Genomic DNA, 20,034 nt, shown 5'->3' on the forward strand with positions numbered 1-20,034 from the left:
CCATTATCATTTCTCTGGTCTGAGATAGATGTTTATGACCTGCCAATAAATGCAGTGACTCAAACTCCAGTGCCCATACTCCTCATTCATACAGCCATGTTTAGGGAGGCTCTAGGGAGAAATGCACAGTTTGACATCGTTCATGAAGAGCCTCTCCACGGCTCCTGCGCCTGAGACAGCTGGCCTGACCTCCAAATCATCCATCCACCCCTGCTGTCATCTGTTTTCATAGTGTGAGATCAACCCACAGGAATATCCATGGCTTTTGTGCTCATTTTGGTTCTCAGTTTCTACGAGCTGGTGTCAGGTAAGCCTTTCAGTTTGGACTGTTGTTTTTCTCCTTGTTGAATAATATTTTGAGTTCATTCATGACAATGATCTCAGCACAGTGAGATGCAGGAATCTTTGGTGCTTGCATTCTCCAGCTTCTCCTGGCCTCAGGCTGGAAACTACCAATGCCAGGAGCTGTGGGAAGCACAGGGCAGCAGGAATTGAGGAAGACTCCTTGGGCTGTTTCTCAAGGACTTGGGCACTATCACAGTAGCTCAGAATAATGGGAGCAGGCCCTGGGAGCAGGGAGGGAACACATTGAGAACGCCAAGGTAAACACATTGTTCTCCCCAGGTGGGCTGTGGGGCTTAGGCAGGGGAAGTCTCTAATAAAATCCCCAGGTTTTTGACTTGGGTGCCTGGGTGGAAGGTGGCACTGTTTAGGATGTTTGGAGAAAAAGACAATGTGTCCAGTTATGCACATGCTGAGTTAGAAACACCTGTAGTTATGGGGTAGAGCACCAGACCTTTAAGTGAGGAGTAAGTTGGAACCTGGCATAGTCTAGGCAGAAACCCACTCTTCTTTCTCCTTCTAGTAACCATCAAGACAAAGCCTGGTGTATAGGATATTCAGTAATCAAATAAATTTTGCAGGGAGAGATAGGGGCTGGAGTAGAACACTGGATTCTGGGTGGTCAGTGTTAAGCCACAAAAAGTTCATTTGACTGTGTTCACTTTCTGTCTGGAACAGTTCCATCCTGCTATTTGTCTACCTATGACTGTTTTGCTAAACAAAGCCAACAAAACAGAAATAAGGGGATCAAAATCCATGTGTGCTCAGAGGGCGTGGTGGCTCACACCTGTAATCCCAGCACTTTGGGAGGCTGAGGTGGGTGGATCACCTGAGGTCAGGAGTTTGAGACTAGCCTGGCCAACATGGTGAAACCCCATCTCTACTAAAAACACAAAAATTAGCCGGGCATGGTGGTGAGCGCCTGTAGTCCCAGCTACTCGGGAGGCTGAGGCACGAGAATCACTTAAACCCAGGAGGCGGAGGTTGCAGTGTGCCAAGATCGTGCCACTGCACTCCAACCTGGGTGACAGAGTGAGACTTTGTCTCAAAAAAACAAAAACAAAAAATCACAATCCACGTATGTTACTCACAAGACAGCCTCCGTTTAAGTACATTCTCACCCATTTTCTGACAAGCCTTTCTGTCTGCTTTCTGTTTCTGCATGAGGCAGCAGGGCATGCTGGAAATGACCTTAGAGGAAGTAACACTATTTTTAAAACTTTCCTTTTCTCTATGAGCTTGTGGCTAATAACTTCTATTAGCATCAATTTTTGCTTATGATGACATAGAGATAATAAGATCACATCTGTGACATTCCTGTGGCTGAAGGGCTGCTGTGTGGATTGCGTGAACTCGTGCATGTAGAGCGTCCAGCACGGAGCTCCGCTGGGGCACAGTATGTTGCGACAACAGACAGTGTCATTCCTTGCTTCTCCCCAGGGGAAGGAGTAAAGGGAGACGCTGTCGGCAAGACAAATGACAGCAGCAAGGCTGGCCGGAGAAACAGACATATACTAAAAACTGTTTGCCTGGCTTGAGAGTCTCACACAGCCTTGAAGGCAGCACTCACAGCAGCCCAGCTGACAGGCTGGGTCCCAAAAGCTGATCTAGAGCAAGGGCCTTTCTGCAGGTGGTTTGTTTAGCAGACTGTTCTCAGAAACAAAAGTGACAGGGTGCAGAGAGTGAAGCCAGCGGGAGGTAAGCCATAGAGGGTGCGCTAATGAGCAGGTTGCTGCGGTGGCAACTGGGACCCAGTCCCACTGGGTCCTTTGGAGGAACTGTATAGACGATGGCTCAGGATCTTCCCAACATCCACTGCTTCCTGTTCCCCACTGGGTGAGATGTGCCCCTCCGGGACTATTAAAATCGCAAACCTTCTTGGCCACCCTGTGCCTGGGCTGAGGAGGTTCCAAAGGTTGCAAGAAGCCATCAGCAGAGAGGCAGAGGCCAGGCTCCAGGGGCGGAGCTGTCAGCAGGCAGGCAAGTGCCCATCCCATTCCAGGGGGACTCAGGGTTGGGTGGTGAGGAGCAGGGCCTCAACATCTGCTACACCAGGTCAGCAGCTGGTCTGACACCAGGCTGCAAAGTCACGCCTCACTTAATAATGCTCTTAAAGATGCATGAGTGAAATACATTTCAGCAAGATTTATAAAATGTACTTAAACTTAGAAATAATTAGTGCTAAAATTAAAAATATCCACTTATCTGGAAATTCACACATGGGATCCACTTTGCCTCTGATGCACATGCAGATACCACACACAGATATATCCATATACCATAAATGGATACATGTGAATGAATCAAGAGACACTGCCAATCAAAGGGGGTGGGTACTTAGAAGGTGAAGGGAGTGGGCCTCCATCGTTTGTGGTCTCTCTAAGAAGAACTCTAATCATACAGAGTTGTAAGTGTGATTTGCACCAGAAAAATTACTTAGTTGACCACAAAACCAAGAAGCAAATGCAAAAAGAAAGTAGCGCTCACCATTCCTAGGCATAATCCCTGTCTGTGGAGCCCATTCTCCATGCTGGGCATGGGGAATCCTGTGCTGAGGGAAACACACACACTCTGTCCTCATGAAGCTAAAAGTCGTGCAGGGAAGGCTCGCAGAAAACAAACAGTTATGTCACTTGCAGCAAGATGAAGACAGTTTCAAGTGAAGATCAAGACAAAGCTGTACCAAGAAAATACAAACAAAACAAAACAGGTAAGCCATGTTGATAAAGCACTAGAGTGGGGGTGTCCAATCTTTTGCCTTCCCTGGGCCATATTGAAAGAAGAACTAACACTAACGATAACTAATGAATGAAAAAAAATCACAAAAAATCTTATAATGTTTTAAGAAAGTTTAAGAATTTGTGTTGGACCGTATTCAAAGCCGTCCTGAGTCTCATGCAGCCCACAGGCTGTGGCTTGGACAAACTTTTGCTAGACGAAGTACTATTCAAGCACGAAATAATAAAGTGGAAAAACATAAAATTATTACCTGGAGTAAAATGTAGGTGTCATGGAAAAGATATGTCACAACATCAGTGCACTAAAGGGCAAATCTCTGAAATAAAAACTACAAAATCTCCTCACTGTGTCACACCATGTCCTTCAGAATATGGCAGAAGTCTACTTAAAAAAAAGAAGCACAAATAAATGTGCTTCAGCGGAGAATATATATTCCTTTCTTGTATCCATAAAACATTTACAAGATGTAATCATCTATTTGAAGGAAATAAATTTTCCCAAATTCGATATTTTATGGCCACTTACTCCCCTCCTGGGTCATTAAAAAAGGTTTTTAGCATAGAAGATGCAAAGGGGGTGGTGTGAGTGTTCATTAAGCAGATGGGCAGAGAGGAGAGCACGTGGAGATAGATTCTCCTCCAGTCAGGGAGTCTGCATTTGGAAGGTGCCTCTCAGGCCCCTGAATAACTCATCCCCAGAGACAGGGTTTCCTCATGTTGAATGTGGGAATATTGATAGCACATACCTCACCTCATCTCACATGAGATGTGTGTGAGAACCGAGTGAAGTAACTGACATGGAAGCATTCTCGCAAGTGTAAGATGTGCAAATGCAAGTCATCAGGTTTAGAAAGAAGACTGATGGATCCCCCACCCCATACCCCACACTTCTCCACCCACCAGAGCCCTGAGAAGGACTCAAGTGGATTTTGCTCAGTTGTCTGTTATGTTTCCTCCTATAGGACAGTGGCAAGTCACTGGACCGGGCAAGTTTGTCCAGGCCTTGGTGGGGGAGGACGCCGTGTTCTCCTGCTCCCTCTTTCCTGAGACCAGTGCAGAGGCTATGGAAGTGCGGTTCTTCAGGAATCAGTTCCATGCTGTGGTCCACCTCTACAGAGATGGGGAAGACTGGGAATCTAAGCAGATGCCACAGTATCGAGGGAGAACTGAGTTTGTGAAGGACTCCATTGCAGGGGGGCGTGTCTCTCTAAGGCTAAAAAACATCACTCCCTCGGACATCGGCCTGTATGGGTGCTGGTTCAGTTCCCAGATTTACGATGAGGAGGCCACCTGGGAGCTGCGGGTGGCAGGTCAGTTGTTTATTTATGACTGAGTTGTCTTGTAAAGTCATGCTACCATTATCAGCTCTTAAAAGTATTTCAGATAATGAAATAAAACAGACTTTCCAGATTCTGACATGATGTAAAAAGGCTTCGGTGGGGATCACTGACCTGAGGTTTCTGGAGATGAGCCTGGCCCTGCCATCACACAGGTGGGATCATGATGCAGAAGACAGCCACCTGCACCTGCCACCACCTGACAGGATACAGAGGAAAGCCACTCCCAATGTTGGTGAAATGAGAGTGATAATGCCTGTCATATTTCAATTTCTTTTATTTTCTTCTTTTTTCTTGACTTCTTGTGTGTTACTAAACTTTTTTTAGGATTCCATCACAACTTATTGTTAGTCTTTTTTTAGTATAACATTTTGTAGTGTTTTCTTAGGTGCTGCTTTAGGTGTTATGATATTCATATATAATTTATCACAATCTACTATATCAACATTTTACCACTTTGAAGTGTGGAAACTTCATTTTCATTCAGAGCCCTTCAAACTCCACAATTTAAAAATAACATTGCCTTGAGTATTTCTTCTATATACATAAGCACTATATCAGATAGTGACTTAATTTCTGTTTAAACCATCATATATAATTTTCATTTTTATTTTTTATTTTTTATTTTTCTTTGAGACAGTCTTGTCCCGTCACCCAGGCTGGAGTGCAGTGGTGTGATCTCAGCTCACTGCAACCTCCACCTCCTGGATTCAAGTGACTCTTGTACCTCAGCCTCCTGAGTAGCTCAGATTACAGGCATGCGCCACCACACCCAGCTAATTTTTTTTTGTATTTTTAGTAGAGATGGGGTTCTGCCATGTTGGCCAGCTGGTCTCAAACTCCTGGCCTCAAATGATCCCCTGCCTTGGGCTCCCAAAATGCTGGGATTACAGGTGTGAGCCACCACACCCAGCACATATGTGATTGTTAAACACTAATAAAATGGAAAATCTATTGTAGTTTTCCTTATTCTTCTTTTTCTATTGCTTTTCTTCTTTCCTAATATTCCAAGATTCTTTCTTTTATCATTTCCTTTCTGTTTGAAGAATTTCCTCCAGCCATCCTTTTAGGATAGGTCTGCTAGTGACAAATTCTCTTAGTTTTTGTTTATCTGAGAATAAATATGCAAAAGATTTCCTCTTTATTTGTGAATAATGGTTTTGCCAGATATAGAATTTCTGAGTTTCTTGATGGTTATTTTCTTTCAGCAGTTGAAAAATGTGCTACTTCTTTCTGGCCTTGAAGATTTCTCACGAAAAATCTGCTGTCATTGGTGTTTTCTTTATTTTCAGAAATTTAATTATGATCTATCAAGGCATGGGTTTCTTTACATTTCTCCTATTTGGTGTGCTCTCAGCTTCTTGAATCTGTAGTTTCATGACTTTCACCTCATTTGATTAGATCAGCCATCATTTCTTTAAATACTCTTTCAGCTCTCTCTCTTTCTCCTCTCCTTCTGGGACTATGATGATATAAATGTTGATATTTTGTTATTGTCTCATAGGTCCTTGAGGATCTGTTTTTCCCTTTAAAAAAATATTTTCCTCTCTTTTCATGCTGGTTAAGTTTCATTGTTGTATCCTGGAGTTCAATAATTTTTTTTTTTTTTTTATGAGATGGAGTCTCGCTCTGTCGCCCAGGCTGGATAGAGTGCAGTGGTGCAATCTCGCTCACTGCAAGCTCTGCCTTCCGGGTTCACGCCATTCTCCTGCCTCAGCCTCCGGAGTAGCTGGAACTACAGGCACCTGCCACCACGCCCGGCTAATTTTTTTTGTATTTTTAGTAGAGACGGGGTTTCACCGTGTTAACCAGGATGGTCTTGATCTCCTGATCTCATGATCCACCCGCCTTGGCCTCCCAAAGTGCTGGGATTACAGGCCTGAGCCACCATGCCAGGCCAATAATTTTATTTTCTGTCATCTCCACTCTAGCATTGAAGCTACCCAGTTAGTTTTTGTTTTTGCATTTTTTTCTGTTATATTACTTCTGATTTGTTTTTTATAACATCTATGGTTTTTGTTTTTTAAATTTTTTGAGAGAATTCATAATTGCTTTTTGAAACATTTTAATAATAGCTATTCATGTTGGTCTTGGCAATCACATGATTGTCTATTTTCATTCAAGTTGATATTTAATTGGTTCTTGGTATGATGGGTAATTTTTAGTTGAAATCTAAATGGTTTAACTATTGTAAGATACTCTAGACCCTATGTAAAGCTTCTGTTTTGCAGGCAGTCACCATGTTTAGATTTATGACTCAGGTCCTAGTCTATTTTTGGTGGTTGTGGCTCCAAATACAATTTAATTTTCAGAGACTTTACTGTGTTATTTTGGTCTACTTTGCTTAACTGATGTCACTGGAGATTCTGCTCATCCTTTCTAGTACTAACTGTGGCAGTAAAAGGTGTTTTCCCATGTTGCTCCTCACTGTTTCTTGTGAGAGAGGTGATCATCTGGCATAGTGGGAAAAAGTACTCTTCCCCTGGTCTCCAGTCAATGGGGCTTATGATCAATTCTTTTGCCAGCACCACTTTGTATATCATGTATTTTCAGCCATTTAGGGGTGGAAAGATTCCCGCTGGGCCACCTACTTCTGCTGGAGGTGGGAGTGGGGGAGTGGTCATAGGATGCTCAGCTGCTGTGTTTTTTTTCTACTCCTGGGGTCCCTAGTCAGTCCTCCTTAGTCTTTCCACTTTTCAAAATGCACCTATGCTTGCCGCATTTCTAGGGTTTATGATTTTACTTAGAGAAAGGAGCAAGGAAGAGAAGTCTACATCATCTTACTTGAGCCCCCTTCCTTGGTGCTTACACCACCATCATTCTTTCATTAATTTATTGACTAACAAACATTTATTAGGCTCCATGCACTGATCCAGACCCTAGGGAATGACAGAGTACAACACTCAGAGAGGAAGTTCTGTTTGGAGTGGTTAAAAGGCAATATTAAATCATAAAATTGAAGTCAACCACATAAGAGGTACTTTTGCATATTTCCCAAGTCACAAATCTGAATGTCACAATAAACCCTTCCTTGATGTTCAGTCCTATTGATTCAACCTCTCAAATAGATTCTGCACCTGCCGTTCCCCTTCTCAGAGCCCTCCTCCTCCCCAGCCCTTCTTTTCTCTCACTGGAGTCACTTCAGTAGTTGCATGGCGGGTCACTCTCCTCCGGAGTGTTCTCTATGGTCCCTCCTCCATGCTGCTGCCTGGAGACCTCTCTAACATACAGGCCTTGCCATAACTCCCACCTGCTGGAAGCTGGTAAGAGCCTTACTGGTCTACAGTTCTTAAAGTGGCTGTGGGCAAGTCCACGTTGCTCAGGTCAGTGAAGGTATGACCTCCACGGCTTGCCTTGTGCCTTTTTCAGATCTTGTCTCACACCCCTACTCTCTTATACATCATCTGGAATATAAATATTCATGAGTCCTTGAAATCACTGTGGCATGTTAACTTTTCACATTGTGGTTTGTACTTGCCTCTTTTTGTCTAAAATGCTTCCCCTCTCCCAGACCTGACCACAACAAAACTCCTATTTTCTGACACAGAAGGGTGCAAATGTCATCTCCAGGAAGCTGTGCCTTTCCCTGACAGTTAAGCACTCTTCTCTGTGCTAACCTGACCATGCTTTCATAGTTGCCATTTCACTATGAAATGTATTTTATACAGTTTCCTCACTATTTGATCAATGAGTTTCTCATTAGAAGGGGCTGTGTCTTATTCACTGCATCCTATTTCATACTTAGGAATATCCAGGCATATATAGTGGCTGCTAAATAAATGTTGAATGAACATAGACCATGGAAGGGCTTGCAGTAGTAGCATGAGTGGATGTGTGTGTAAGAGAGAGAGAGAGAAAAAGATGTGTGTGTAAGAGACAGAGAGAAAAGGATGTGTGTGTGTGAGAGAGAGAGAGAGAGAAAAGGATGTATGTGTGTTATGGGTACAGGCTTGATGAACCAGACTCAAAATGCTGTAAGCTTGAAATTTGGTCTTTGCTTTCATCTTTCCCTGTTTTCTTCCCAGCACTGGGCTCACTTCCTCTCATTTCCATCGTGGGATATGTTGACGGAGGTATCCAGTTACTCTGCCTGTCCTCAGGCTGGTTCCCCCAGCCCACAGCCAAGTGGAAAGGTCCACAAGGACAGGATTTGTCTTCAGACTCCAGAGCAAATGCAGATGGGTACAGCCTGTATGATGTGGAGATCTCCATTATAGTCCAGGAAAATGCTGGGAGCATATTGTGTTCCATCCACCTTGCTGAGCAGAGTCATGAGGTGGAATCCAAGGTATTGATAGGAGGTGAGTGGGGAGAAGGAGGAGCAAGGAATGGGTGTGTGCATACGTAACCCAGGGTAGAGCAGCAGCTTGTGTCTGGGATTGTTGTGTAGTACCATCCAGCTTCAATGATTTGTTTTGAGAGTCAAAGATTGATGAGGTATAAAAAACAAAACCAAACATTTGATAAGGCAGAAGTAGAATAGTTTACAATTTCAAGGCAGTAGAATTAAGTATTTCCTTCACCACACAATACCCCCATGGTGCAACACTCACAACTCAACACGTAACAAAACTTAAGGAAATTAACTCTAGGACTAAGAAAATAATTGTTTCTTCATTTTTAGAAAACGTCGTTGCTCCTTCATGAAGCAGAATAAAACTGTAGAAAATTTCAGAAAGGATTTACAAATAGTAGGAAAATTTACATAAACTAAAATGCTTCCAGAATCACACTCAATTAAAAGGATTGAATTTGCCAGTTAAAAGACAAAGAATCTCAGACTGGATTTAAAAATCTCATCGCTTGAACCCAGGAGGCAGAGGTTGCAGTGAGCCGAGATGGCACCACTGTGCTCCAGCCTGGGTGGCAGAGCAAGACTCCATCTCAAAAATGTAAAAATAAAAATAAAAATAAAAATAGACAAATACTAAAAATCTCAATGGCAATTCATAAGAGGAAAAATGTAGCACATATGAGCTATTCATTGAAAATAAAAAATACTCGAGAAATATTAATCACGAAGAATTGAACAGATATATTAGTGTCAAGAAAAGGAAGACAAAGTTGTAAGAAAAAGGGCATTAGGGATAGAGTTATTTCAAAAACATAAGTTCACTCAGTATAAGAATATGAAAATTTTAAATATATATACATGTACCTTATACATGTAAAACATAGAAAATATCAACAGAAATAAGAAAAAAGGTCATACTTCGAGTTCTAAAATTGATTAAATAAGTAGACAAAATGAGTAAGAATATATACTATTTGAACTAAAAATTAATAAGTCTGAAATAACGTATTTTTGGAGATGGCACTCCAGGTTTGTAGAATATACATTAATTTTTACCACACTTGGAACTTTTATAAAATTTTACCAGATATAAACACATACAATGGTTTTAAGAAAATTTTCAGACATAGATATCATGCACATGAAATTCTCTAATCATAATTTAATAAAGTCAAATGACCACAGCAAAAGATAGTTTAAATTCTTATGTGTTTGAAAAATTTTTAAACATTAAAATAACTGAGAAATTGAAGAAAGCATAGTGATAGGTAGAAAATTCTTAAAACTGAATGATAATAAAATTACAATCTATCATAATGTGTAAAATAGAACTAATATAGTTTTCTGAGTCAAAATTTTATCTGGCCGGGCGCAGTGGCTCACGCCTGTAATCCCAGCACTTTGGAAGGCCAAGACAGGCGGATCACCTGAGGTCAGGAGTTCAAGACCAGCCTGGCCATAATGGTGAAACCCCGTCTCTACTAAAAATACAAAAATTAGCCGGGTGTGGTGGCGGGTGCCTGTAATCCCAGCTACCTGGGAAGCTGAGGCAGGAGAATTGCTTGAACCCGGGAGGCGGAGGTTGCGGTGAGCCGAGATCATGCCACTGCACTCCAGCCTGGGCGATAGAGCAAGACTCCATCTCAAAAATATATATATATATATCCTTTAATGCTTAAATGTTCTTATTAGCATGAAATAGCTGAATATTGATATTAGGCATCAATATATATTTCAGAAAACAGCAAAAGAAAGTGGAAGAAATCCTAAAGATATAGAAATATGGAAATATAAAGACAAATAGTGCACATTAATACATCTAAAGTTAGACGGTTCGAAGTGTTATTAAAATAGATAAACTGGCAACATCAGTTAAGAATAAAAGAGAAACAGCACAATTAAACAAGGCAGGAAATAACAAGAAGGCACAACTAAAGATTTAGTAGAGATTTGTAAGATAAACTGCTTTGAATAACTTTTTCCTTTTCTATTGAATATGATGAAGTGAAAGTTTTCATAGAAAAATGTAAAATACAGGACAGGCGCAGTGGCTCATGCCTGTAGTCCCAGCAGTGTGGAAGGCTGAGGCGGGCAGATCGCTTGAGGTCAGGAGTTTGAGACCAGCCTGCCCAACATGGCGAAACCCCATCTCTACTAAAAATACAAAAATTAGCTGGGCGTGGTGGTGTGTGTCTGTAATCCCAGCTACTCTGGAGGCTGAGGCTGGAGAATCACTTAAATCCAGGAGACAGAGATTGCAGTGAGCTGAGATCGCCCCACTGTACTCCAGCCTGGGGGACAGAGTGAGACTTTGTCTCAAAAATTTTTAAAAAAGAAGAAAAACGTAAAATACAAAATCCGAAGGAAAGATAGACTACCTGACTAATTTGTAACCATGAAAGAGGTGGACTCAGCATTTAAAAGTCTTCCCACAAGGAAGACACAAGGCCCACATTGTTTTATATACAAAGTCTACCAAATATTCAAGAAAAGAGAAAATGTATCTTTCAGAAAGTCGGCCAGAGAGCAGAAAAATAGGAAATATTAAACTCATTTTATTGAGTCAACATAATTTTGGTATCATAAGAGAAATGGGCAATTCAAAAAAGGAAAAATTTTTACCAACATTACTCATAATTGAAAATGTAAAAATCTTACCAAAAATTTTGCAAGTAGAAAAGTCCACAAAAACATATATCATGACCAAACTTATCCTGGAAAAAAATGTTAGGTCAACATGGGAACATATATTAATGTAATTATAACATAATTCGTTAAAAGAGATAAACTATAATTTTCTTAGTAGATGTAAATAAAACAGATAACTTTCTACATCTATTCATCATGATTTCAACACTTGCAAATCTAGAAATAGAAGAAAATTTTTTTTATCAATCTAGAAATAGGAGAGACTCTGCTTAATCTGATAAAAAGATATCTAAAGATACTTGCAGCAAACATCATACAAAATAATAAGCCACCTAATTTTTTAAATACATACCGAAAACATTATACATAATGTGTCATTTAAAATCATAACATAGGCCGGGCGCGGTGGCTCACGCCTGTAATCCCAGCACTTTGGGAGGCCGAGGCAGGTGGATCATGAGGTCAGGAGATCGAGACCATCCTGGCTAACAAGGTGAAACCCCGTCTCTACTAAAAATACAAAAAATTAGCCGGGCGCGGTGGCGGGCGCCTGTAGTCCCAGCTACTCGGGAGGCTGAGGCAGGAGAATGGCGTGAACCCGGGAAGCGGAGCTTGCAGTGAGCCGAGATTGCGCCACTGCAGTCCGCAGTCCGGCCTGGGCGACAGAGCGAGACTCCGTCTCAAAAAAAAATAAAATAAAATAAAAAAATAAAATAAAATAAAATAAAATCATAACATAAGGAGATTGCATTAAACACTTCTGTTCCACATTATATTAGAGTACTGTTACTATTAGCAGCCACTTCAATAAGGGAAGAAAATGTAAAAGTTATAACTTTTAGAAAGAAAAAAATTAAATGGCCATTGTTCACAGTTTATATGATGATATAAACGGAAAATTTAGAAAAATTTACAGACAAATTCTTTCAACTCATAAAGGAATCCATCGTGTTCATGAAAAATGAGAGGAATAAACAAAATCTAATAAAATGTTTACAAAATCTTATTGAAGGGTATTATAAAACTGTATTAAAAGACACTAATGAAAACTAAAATAAGAGAACAAACATAACACCTTTCAGATAAGAAGATGCATGTTTTTAAAGATACCAGTTCTCCTAGAATTGCTGTACAGATTCAATACAATTCCATAGAAAAATCTCAGCACATTTTTTGGTTTGTTTGTTTTTTGAGATGAGCTGTCACTCTGTCACCCATGCTGGAGTATAGTGGTGCAATCATGGCTCATTGCAACCTCAATTTCCCATGCTCAAGCAATCCTCCCACCTCAGCCTCCCAAGTAGCTGGGACCACAGGTGTGCACCACCATGCCTGGCTAATTTTTTTTAATTTTAAATATTTTTATAGATGGGGGGGGGTCTCACTTTGTTGCCTAGACTGGTCTCGAACTCCTGTCCTTAAGAAATCCTCCCGGCCAGGCGCGGTGGCTCATGCCTGTAATCCCAGCACTTTGGGAGGCCGAGACGGGAGGATCACGAGGTTAGGAGATCGAGACCATCCTGGCTAACATGGTGAAACCCCATCTCTACTAAAAATACAAAAAATTAGCTAGGCGTGGTGGCGGGCGCCTGTAGTCCCAGCCACTCAGGAGGCTGAGGAAGGAGAATGGCGTGAACCCGGGAGGCAGAGGTTGCAGTGAGCCGAGATCGCGCCACTGCACTCCTCCCTGGGCAACAGAGCGAGACTCTGTCTCAACAAAACAAAACAAAACAAAACAAAACAAAGAAATCTAAAGGAGAAAAGAATAAACATTACCTTTAAAAAAAAAAAGAAATCCTCCCACTTTGGCCTCCCAAACTGCTGGGTTTATAGGCATGAGCCACTGCACCTGGCCCAGAGTTTTCTTAAAGCCTAACAAGTCAATTCCAAAGTTTATGTGGCAAAACAAATAGCCAAGAATTGCTAAGATACAGTGGAATAAGAGCAAGCTAAGAAGCTTAGTCTTATCTCAGAGACATATCCCAAAGCTTTGAAGATTAAGCCAATTAAAATTATTGGCACAGAGATAACCCTATGGATCAATGAGAGAGAACAAAGAGCCCAGAAACAAATCCAAGCTTGAACATGAGGTACACAGAGGTGACCTTGCATGTGTGGCAGTGTGTAAAGCAAGGTCCACTCAACAAACATTGCCAGCACAGTCAACACCTGCTTAGAAGAAGATGACATTGAACTTCTGCCTCATTAGACATAGACACACACACACACACACACACGTGTGTGTGTATATATATATATATATATATATATATGAAATCCAGATGGATCAAGACTTATAAAGAAATGCAAAGCTTTAACGCGCACACACACACACACGTGAATATATATATATATATATATATATATATATATATGAAATCCGGATGGATCAAGATGTTTATAGAAATGCAAAGCTTTAAATCTGTGGAAGAAATGAGAGAAAAATGTTTTCATCTTGGGGTACTGGGGGATTCCTTAAATGGGCGTAAAATTGTCTTACCTGCTTAGCTATCACTAAGGGTCTGTGGGACTGTTTTTCAGAGACGTTTTTCCAGCCCTCACCTTGGCGCCTGGCTTCTATTTTACTCGGGTTACTCTGTGGTGCCCTGTGTGGTGTTGTCATGGGGATGATAATTGTTTTCTTCAAATCCAAAGGTAAGTGAGAGAGAGAAGCATGGGCCCATACCTTCTTCATGGTTCCAGTGGAGCTGATATCAGGCTGCCCTCACACACCTCTGGGCTCTGCTCTTCCAGCCCTAGGCCTACAGGGGCCACCAGCTGAGGCACAGGGAACCCAGTCTTCAGCCTCCTCTGTGCTGGCCTGAAATGGCTCCTTCAGAAAATGCCAGCCTCTGCCAATCCCTTTCTACTTTACATGGAGCACAGGATAAGCAGATAATTGATTTTCAGTACATAAAGAGTTCACATAAATTTCTACCAACAGGCTGAGTGCCGTGGCTCGTGTCTGTAATCCCAGCACTTTGGGAGGCCGATGTGGGAGGATCACTTGAGCCCAGGAGTGTAAGACCATCCTGGGCAACATGGCGAGAACTCCTCTCTACAAAAAATTTTTAAAAAATAAAATAAAATAATTAGCTGGGTGTGGTGGTGCGTGACTGTGGTCCCAGCTACTTAGGAGGTTGAGATGGGAGGATGGCTTGAGCACAGGAGGTCAAGGCTTTAGTGAGCCATGTTCGCACCACTGCACATCAGCCTGGGCAACAGAGTGAGACCCTGACTCAATAAATAAATATATAAAAATAAATAAATTTCTACTAACGACAACAAGAGACAATAAGAAAATTTCAGGGTGGTTGCAAAGACTTCATAGAAGAGGAAATAAAACTGACTGACTGAGATAAAATGATAATCTCAGTAAGAGTCTTCACCCTAGAACAAATTTCCTCCTCCTTGGGAGTGACACTTCCCCTTGGGGGTGAGGCCACCCCCGCCTCCCCTCCCAGCCGCCTTCTCCCATCTCCATCCCCACCTCCACAGCATCCCAGCTGTTGTCCCTCTCCTTAGCATGCACCTTCCTGATCTCTTGCTCCACCCCAGAGAGCCACACTCCGTGCAGGGGCTGGGGAGACGAGCACATATAAGTGTCCTAGGAGAGGCCCTGCCCTTCACACCTGCAGCTCGTCCCACCTGTGCAAGGAGCCAGCGTCGTGTTTGTACCTTGCACACTCCTGTGTCCACCACTGAATATACTGTTTCTGTTTCAGGGAAAATCCAGGCGGAACTGGGTATGTGTCATGTCCTGAGCCTCCCACACATGGTTCTCCCGGGTCCCTCCCTGATCCACAGTTTGAGCCTCTGGACGACCCTGGCTGCAGGCTGGACAGGAAGCACCGGCAGGTGGAGGGGAGCAGCTGCTCACTCTCTCCATCCACTGCTCATGAGTTACCCCTCGGACATCTGGAGGGCTTAGGATAGGCCCCGGGGCCTGGAAGTCCCCACAAATTGTCTGTGCCTGTTGCCCGTTGGTTTGCTGTGTGTGTGGTGGGGGGAGGTGTTGATCATGAGCTCTGAGGGTGTCTGGGCCACAGTGAGGAACCTGAGAAAAATTTGTGGGTGATCCTCGACCTCCCCTGGCCTGATGCTTTGAGACTTTATCCAGTTCTGTATCAACCACTAAATAGTCTGCTTTTTGTTTTGTGGGAACTCCAGGATAAACTGGGTGAGAGTGTTACCACTCGCAGGGATTCCCTCCCACGCCCTCCCTGGGCCCCCGCTCTGTGACGTCAGCCTCTTACATGTTTTTTGTTTTTGTTTTTGTTTTTCAGACTGGAGAAGAAAGCACGGACAGGCAGGTAAAAGAAAATATTCCTCTTCACACATTTATGACTCCTTTCCAAGTCTCTCGTTTATGGATTTTTATATCCTGAGGCCCGTGGGTCCCTGCAGAGCCAAGCTTGTGATGGGAACTCTGAAATTGCAGATTCTGGGGGAGGTGCATTTTGTAGAGAAGCCCCATAGCCTTCTTCAGATCTCTGGAGGGTCCACAACACTCAAAAAGGGTCCCAATCCTTGGTCTTTCCCTTCTCCCTGCGCCCTGTTTCCCACGTGAGCACGGAACTGCCTGCTCTCTCTGCTTGCTTTCAGAATTGAGAGACGCCCGGAAACACGCAGGTACCAACGCCTGAGAGGGTAACAGTGGGCATGGAGTAGGAAGATGACCAGTGACAGATATGGAGCCCATCCAGCTTGTAGACAGCAAATCTGTGATGCCCGAATCCACCCCAGGGTGCAGCTGCCTCTAAATACACTTCTTGGCCCAGGACTTGGAGGGAAAAGCGTAGGGACTGGGTCAGCTAGGAGGGGTCACAGGCAAGACGCCAGGGAACTGAGGGCATTAGTAGCTGGCTTCTAGGGGTCTGTGCAAAGGGGAACTAAGTGAAGTTAGCAGGAACTGGTGGGTGGAAGGAAGCTGAATCCTGGAGTCACTCAAGGTCTCACAAAGTCAAATAGAGGGCTTACGTGGGAGGGCAGTGGTAGGGCTGGGTGAACATCTCATGGTTGAGCATCTCCAAGCATCAGTGAGGCACGGGGGCTGCCCTGGAGAAGGTACATGGCTGGTGGGATAGTGGGACTGGCCGGATCCTACCCGGAGCCAGTCTGCAGTGGGAGGGTCGACCTCTTGCTCCAGCCCAGATTTCGTCTTCAGTAACTCATGCTTCCTCTCTCCCCCACCGCACCCCAGTGGAGGTGACTCTGGATCCAGAGACGGCTCACCCGAAGCTCTGCGTTTCTGATCTGAAAACTGTAACCCATAGAAAAGCTCCCCAGGAGGTGCCTCACTCTGAGAAGAGATTTACAAGGAAGAGTGTGGTGGCTTCTCAGGGTTTCCAAGCAGGGAAACATTACTGGGAGGTGGACGTGGGACAAAATGTAGGGTGGTATGTGGGAGTGTGTCGGGATGACGTAGACAGGGGGAAGAACAATGTGACTTTGTCTCCCAACAATGGGTATTGGGTCCTCAGACTGACAACAGAACATTTGTATTTCACATTCAATCCCCATTTTATCAGCCTCCCCCCCAGCACCCCTCCTACACGAGTAGGGGTCTTCCTGGACTATGAGGGTGGGACCATCTCCTTCTTCAATACAAATGACCAGTCCCTTATTTATACCCTGCTGACATGTCAGTTTGAAGGCTTGTTGAGACCCTATATCCAGCATGCGATGTATGACGAGGAAAAGGGGACTCCCATATTCATATGTCCAGTGTCCTGGGGATGAGACAGAGAAGACCCTGCTTAAAGGGCCCCACACCACAGACCCAGACACAGCCAAGGGAGAGTGCTCCCGACAGGTGGCCCCAGCTTCCTCTCCGGAGCCTGCGCACAGAGAGTCACGCCCCCCACTCTCCTTTAGGGAGCTGAGGTTCTTCTGCCCTGAGCCCTGCAGCAGCGGCAGTCACAGCTTCCAGATGAGGGGGGATTGGCCTGACCCTGTGGGAGTCAGAAGCCATGGCTGCCCTGAAGTGGGGACGGAATAGACTCACATTAGGTTTAGTTTGTGAAAACTCCATCCAGCTAAGCGATCTTGAACAAGTCACAACCTCCCAGGCTCCTCATTTGCTAGTCACGGACAGTGATTCCTGCCTCACAGGTGAAGATTAAAGAGACAACGAATGTGAATCATGCTTGCAGGTTTGAGGGCACAGTGTTTGCTAATGATGTGTTTTTATATTATACATTTTCCCACCATAAACTCTGTTTGCTTATTCCACATTAATTTACTTTTCTCTATACCAAATCACCCATGGAATAGTTATTGAACACCTGCTTTGTGAGGCTCAAAGAATAAAGAGGAGGTAGGATTTTTCACTGATTCTATAAGCCCAGCATTACCTGATACCAAAACCAGGCAAAGAAAACAGAAGAAGAGGAAGGAAAACTACAGGTCCATATCCCTCATTAACACAGACACAAAAATTCTAAATAAAATTTTAACAAATTAAACTAAACAATATATTTAAAGATGATATATAACTACTCAGTGTGGTTTGTCCCACAAATGCAGAGTTGGTTTAATATTTAAATATCAACCAGTGTAATTCAGCACATTAATAAAGTAAAAAAGAAAACCATATGATCATTTCAACGATGCAGAAAAAAAGTTTCATAAAGCCACCATCATTACTGATAAAACCTGTCAACAAGGAAGATACATAGATGAAAAATAAGCACAGGAAGAGATACTTAATGTCATTAAACACTAAGAAAATGCAAACTAAAACCACAGCAAGATACCATTACCATCTATTAAAGTGGCTAAAATTACAAAGACTGACAATAGCAAGTGTTGGTGAGGATGTGGAGGGAAGGAATTCTCATACACTGCTCATGGGACTGTCAAATAATATGGTCACTTTGGAAAACAGTTCAGTAGTTCCTTTAAAAGTTCAACAGTCACTAACCATATGATCCAGCATGGCCTTCTAATTATTTTTCCAAGAGAAAAGGAAATCTGTGAATGTTCATAGCAGCTTTATTTGTAATAGCCAAAATTTGAAAACAACACAAAGCTCACCAATTGATAACAAATTATGATATATCCATGCAAATAAAGTGCTACTCGGAAATAAAAAAGAATATTGTTATACACACAAAATCATTAAATCTCACAGAAATTATTACAAGTAGTGCTTGCTTTGGCAGCACGTTTAGTAAAATTGGAATGATACAGAGATTAGCGTGGCCCCTGCACAAGGAGGACATGCAAATTCATGAAGTGTTCCATATTTTAAATTTAATTTTATGATAAAGAAAAACATTGGAGGGCTGGGCGTGGTGGCTCACGCCTGTAATCCCAGCACTTTGGGAGGCCGAGGTGGGTGGATCACAAGGTCAGGAGACTGAGACCATCCTGGCTAACATGATGAAACCCCGTCTCTACTAAAAATACAAAAAATTAGCTGGGCATGGTGGTGGACACCTGTAGTCCCAGCTACTCGGGAGGCTGAGGCAGGAGAATGGCGTGAACCCAGGGGGCGGAGCTTGCAGTGAGCCGAGATGGCGCCACTGCACTCCAACCTGGGCAACAGAGCGAGACTCCGTCTCAAAAAAAAAAAAAAAAGAAAAGAAAAGAAAAGAAAAACATGGGAAGGATCTGGCAAGATGTCTGAATAGGAACGCTCTGGCCTGCCAGCGAGACCAATGCAGAAGGCAGGGGATTTCTGCATTTCCAACTGAGGTACCCTGTTCATCTCATTGGGACTGGTTAGGCAGTGGGTGCAGCCCATGGAAGGCAGGCAGAAGCAGGGCGGGGTGTTGCCTCAACCCAGGAAGTGCAAGGAGTGGGGGGCCTCCCTCCACCAGCCAAGGGAAGCTGTGAGGGACTGTGCTATCTGGCCCAGACACTACGCGTTTCCCACGGTTTTTGCAATCCACAGAACAGGAGAGTCCCTCATGTGACTACACCACCAGGGCCCTGGGTTTCAAGCACAAAACTGGGTGGCTGTTTGGGCAGACACTGAGCCAGCTGCAGGAGTGTTTTTTTATACCCTAGTGGCGCCTGGAACCACAGCAAGACAGAACTGTTCACCCCCTGGAAAGGGGGCTGAAGCTAGGGAGCCAAGTGGGCTCACTCAGCGGGTCCCACTCCCACGGAGCCCAGCAAGCTAAGAGCCACTGGCTTGAAATTCCTGCTGCCAGCACAGTAGTCTGGAGCTGACCTGGAGCTTGGTTGGGGGAGGGGCATCTGTCATTACTGGGGCTTGAATAGGTGGTTTTCCCCTGACAGTGCTAAGGAGGCCTGGAAGTTCGGACTGGGCGGAACTCAACACAGCACGGCAAAGAGGCTGTGGCCAGACTGCCTCTCTAGATTCCTCCTCACTGGGCAGGGCATCTCTGAAAGAAAGGCAGCAGTCCCAGTCAGGGGCTTATAGATAAAAGTCCCAACTCCCTTGGACAGAGCACCTGGGGGAAGGGGCGGCTGTGGGTGCAGCTTCAGTGGACTTAAACGTTCCTGCCTGCTGGCTCTGCAGAGAGCAGCAGATGCTGACAAGGAGGGCTCTCCCAGCACAGCACTCGAGCTCTGCTAAGGGACAGACTGCCTCCTCAAGTGGGTCCCTGACCCCTGTGTCACCTGACGGGGAGAGACCTCCCAACAGGGGTTGACAGACACCTCATACAGGAGAGCTCTGGTTGGCATCAGGCTGGTGCCC

At 43.8% G+C, this 20,034-nt stretch overlaps 1 protein-coding gene and 1 pseudogene across 1 annotated transcript; both read left to right on the forward strand.

Moving 5' to 3' along the window:
* The first annotated feature begins 75 nt into the window (after nt 1-75).
* On the forward strand, nt 76-17,957 carry BTNL3 (butyrophilin like 3). The gene is made up of 8 exons (NM_197975.3): nt 76-307; nt 4,043-4,390; nt 8,443-8,718; nt 13,902-14,015; nt 15,086-15,106; nt 15,647-15,673; nt 15,966-15,992; nt 16,564-17,957. Exons 1-8 carry the CDS (start codon nt 259-261, stop codon nt 17,100-17,102), a joined length of 1,401 nt encoding a protein of 466 aa, NP_932079.1. The 5' UTR covers nt 76-258; the 3' UTR covers nt 17,103-17,957.
* Nucleotides 18,511-18,614, forward strand: RNU6-1036P (RNA, U6 small nuclear 1036, pseudogene; annotated as a pseudogene).

The sequence above is a fragment of the Homo sapiens genome, chromosome 5 (genome assembly GCF_000001405.40).
Source record: "Homo sapiens chromosome 5, GRCh38.p14 Primary Assembly".
Lineage (NCBI taxonomy): Eukaryota > Metazoa > Chordata > Mammalia > Primates > Hominidae > Homo > Homo sapiens.

Bases quoted from the DNA above. Each gene is read 5' to 3' on its own strand.
- BTNL3 (NM_197975.3), top strand. From the start codon at position 259: ATGGCTTTTGTGCTCATTTTGGTTCTCAGTTTCTACGAGCTGGTGTCA. The intron at 308-4,042 runs GTAAGCCTTTCA...TTCCTCCTATAG, and splicing joins TTTCTACGAGCTGGTGTCAG to GACAGTGGCAAGTCACTGGA. The intron at 8,719-13,901 runs GTGAGTGGGGAG...ACTGTTTTTCAG, and splicing joins ATCCAAGGTATTGATAGGAG to AGACGTTTTTCCAGCCCTCA.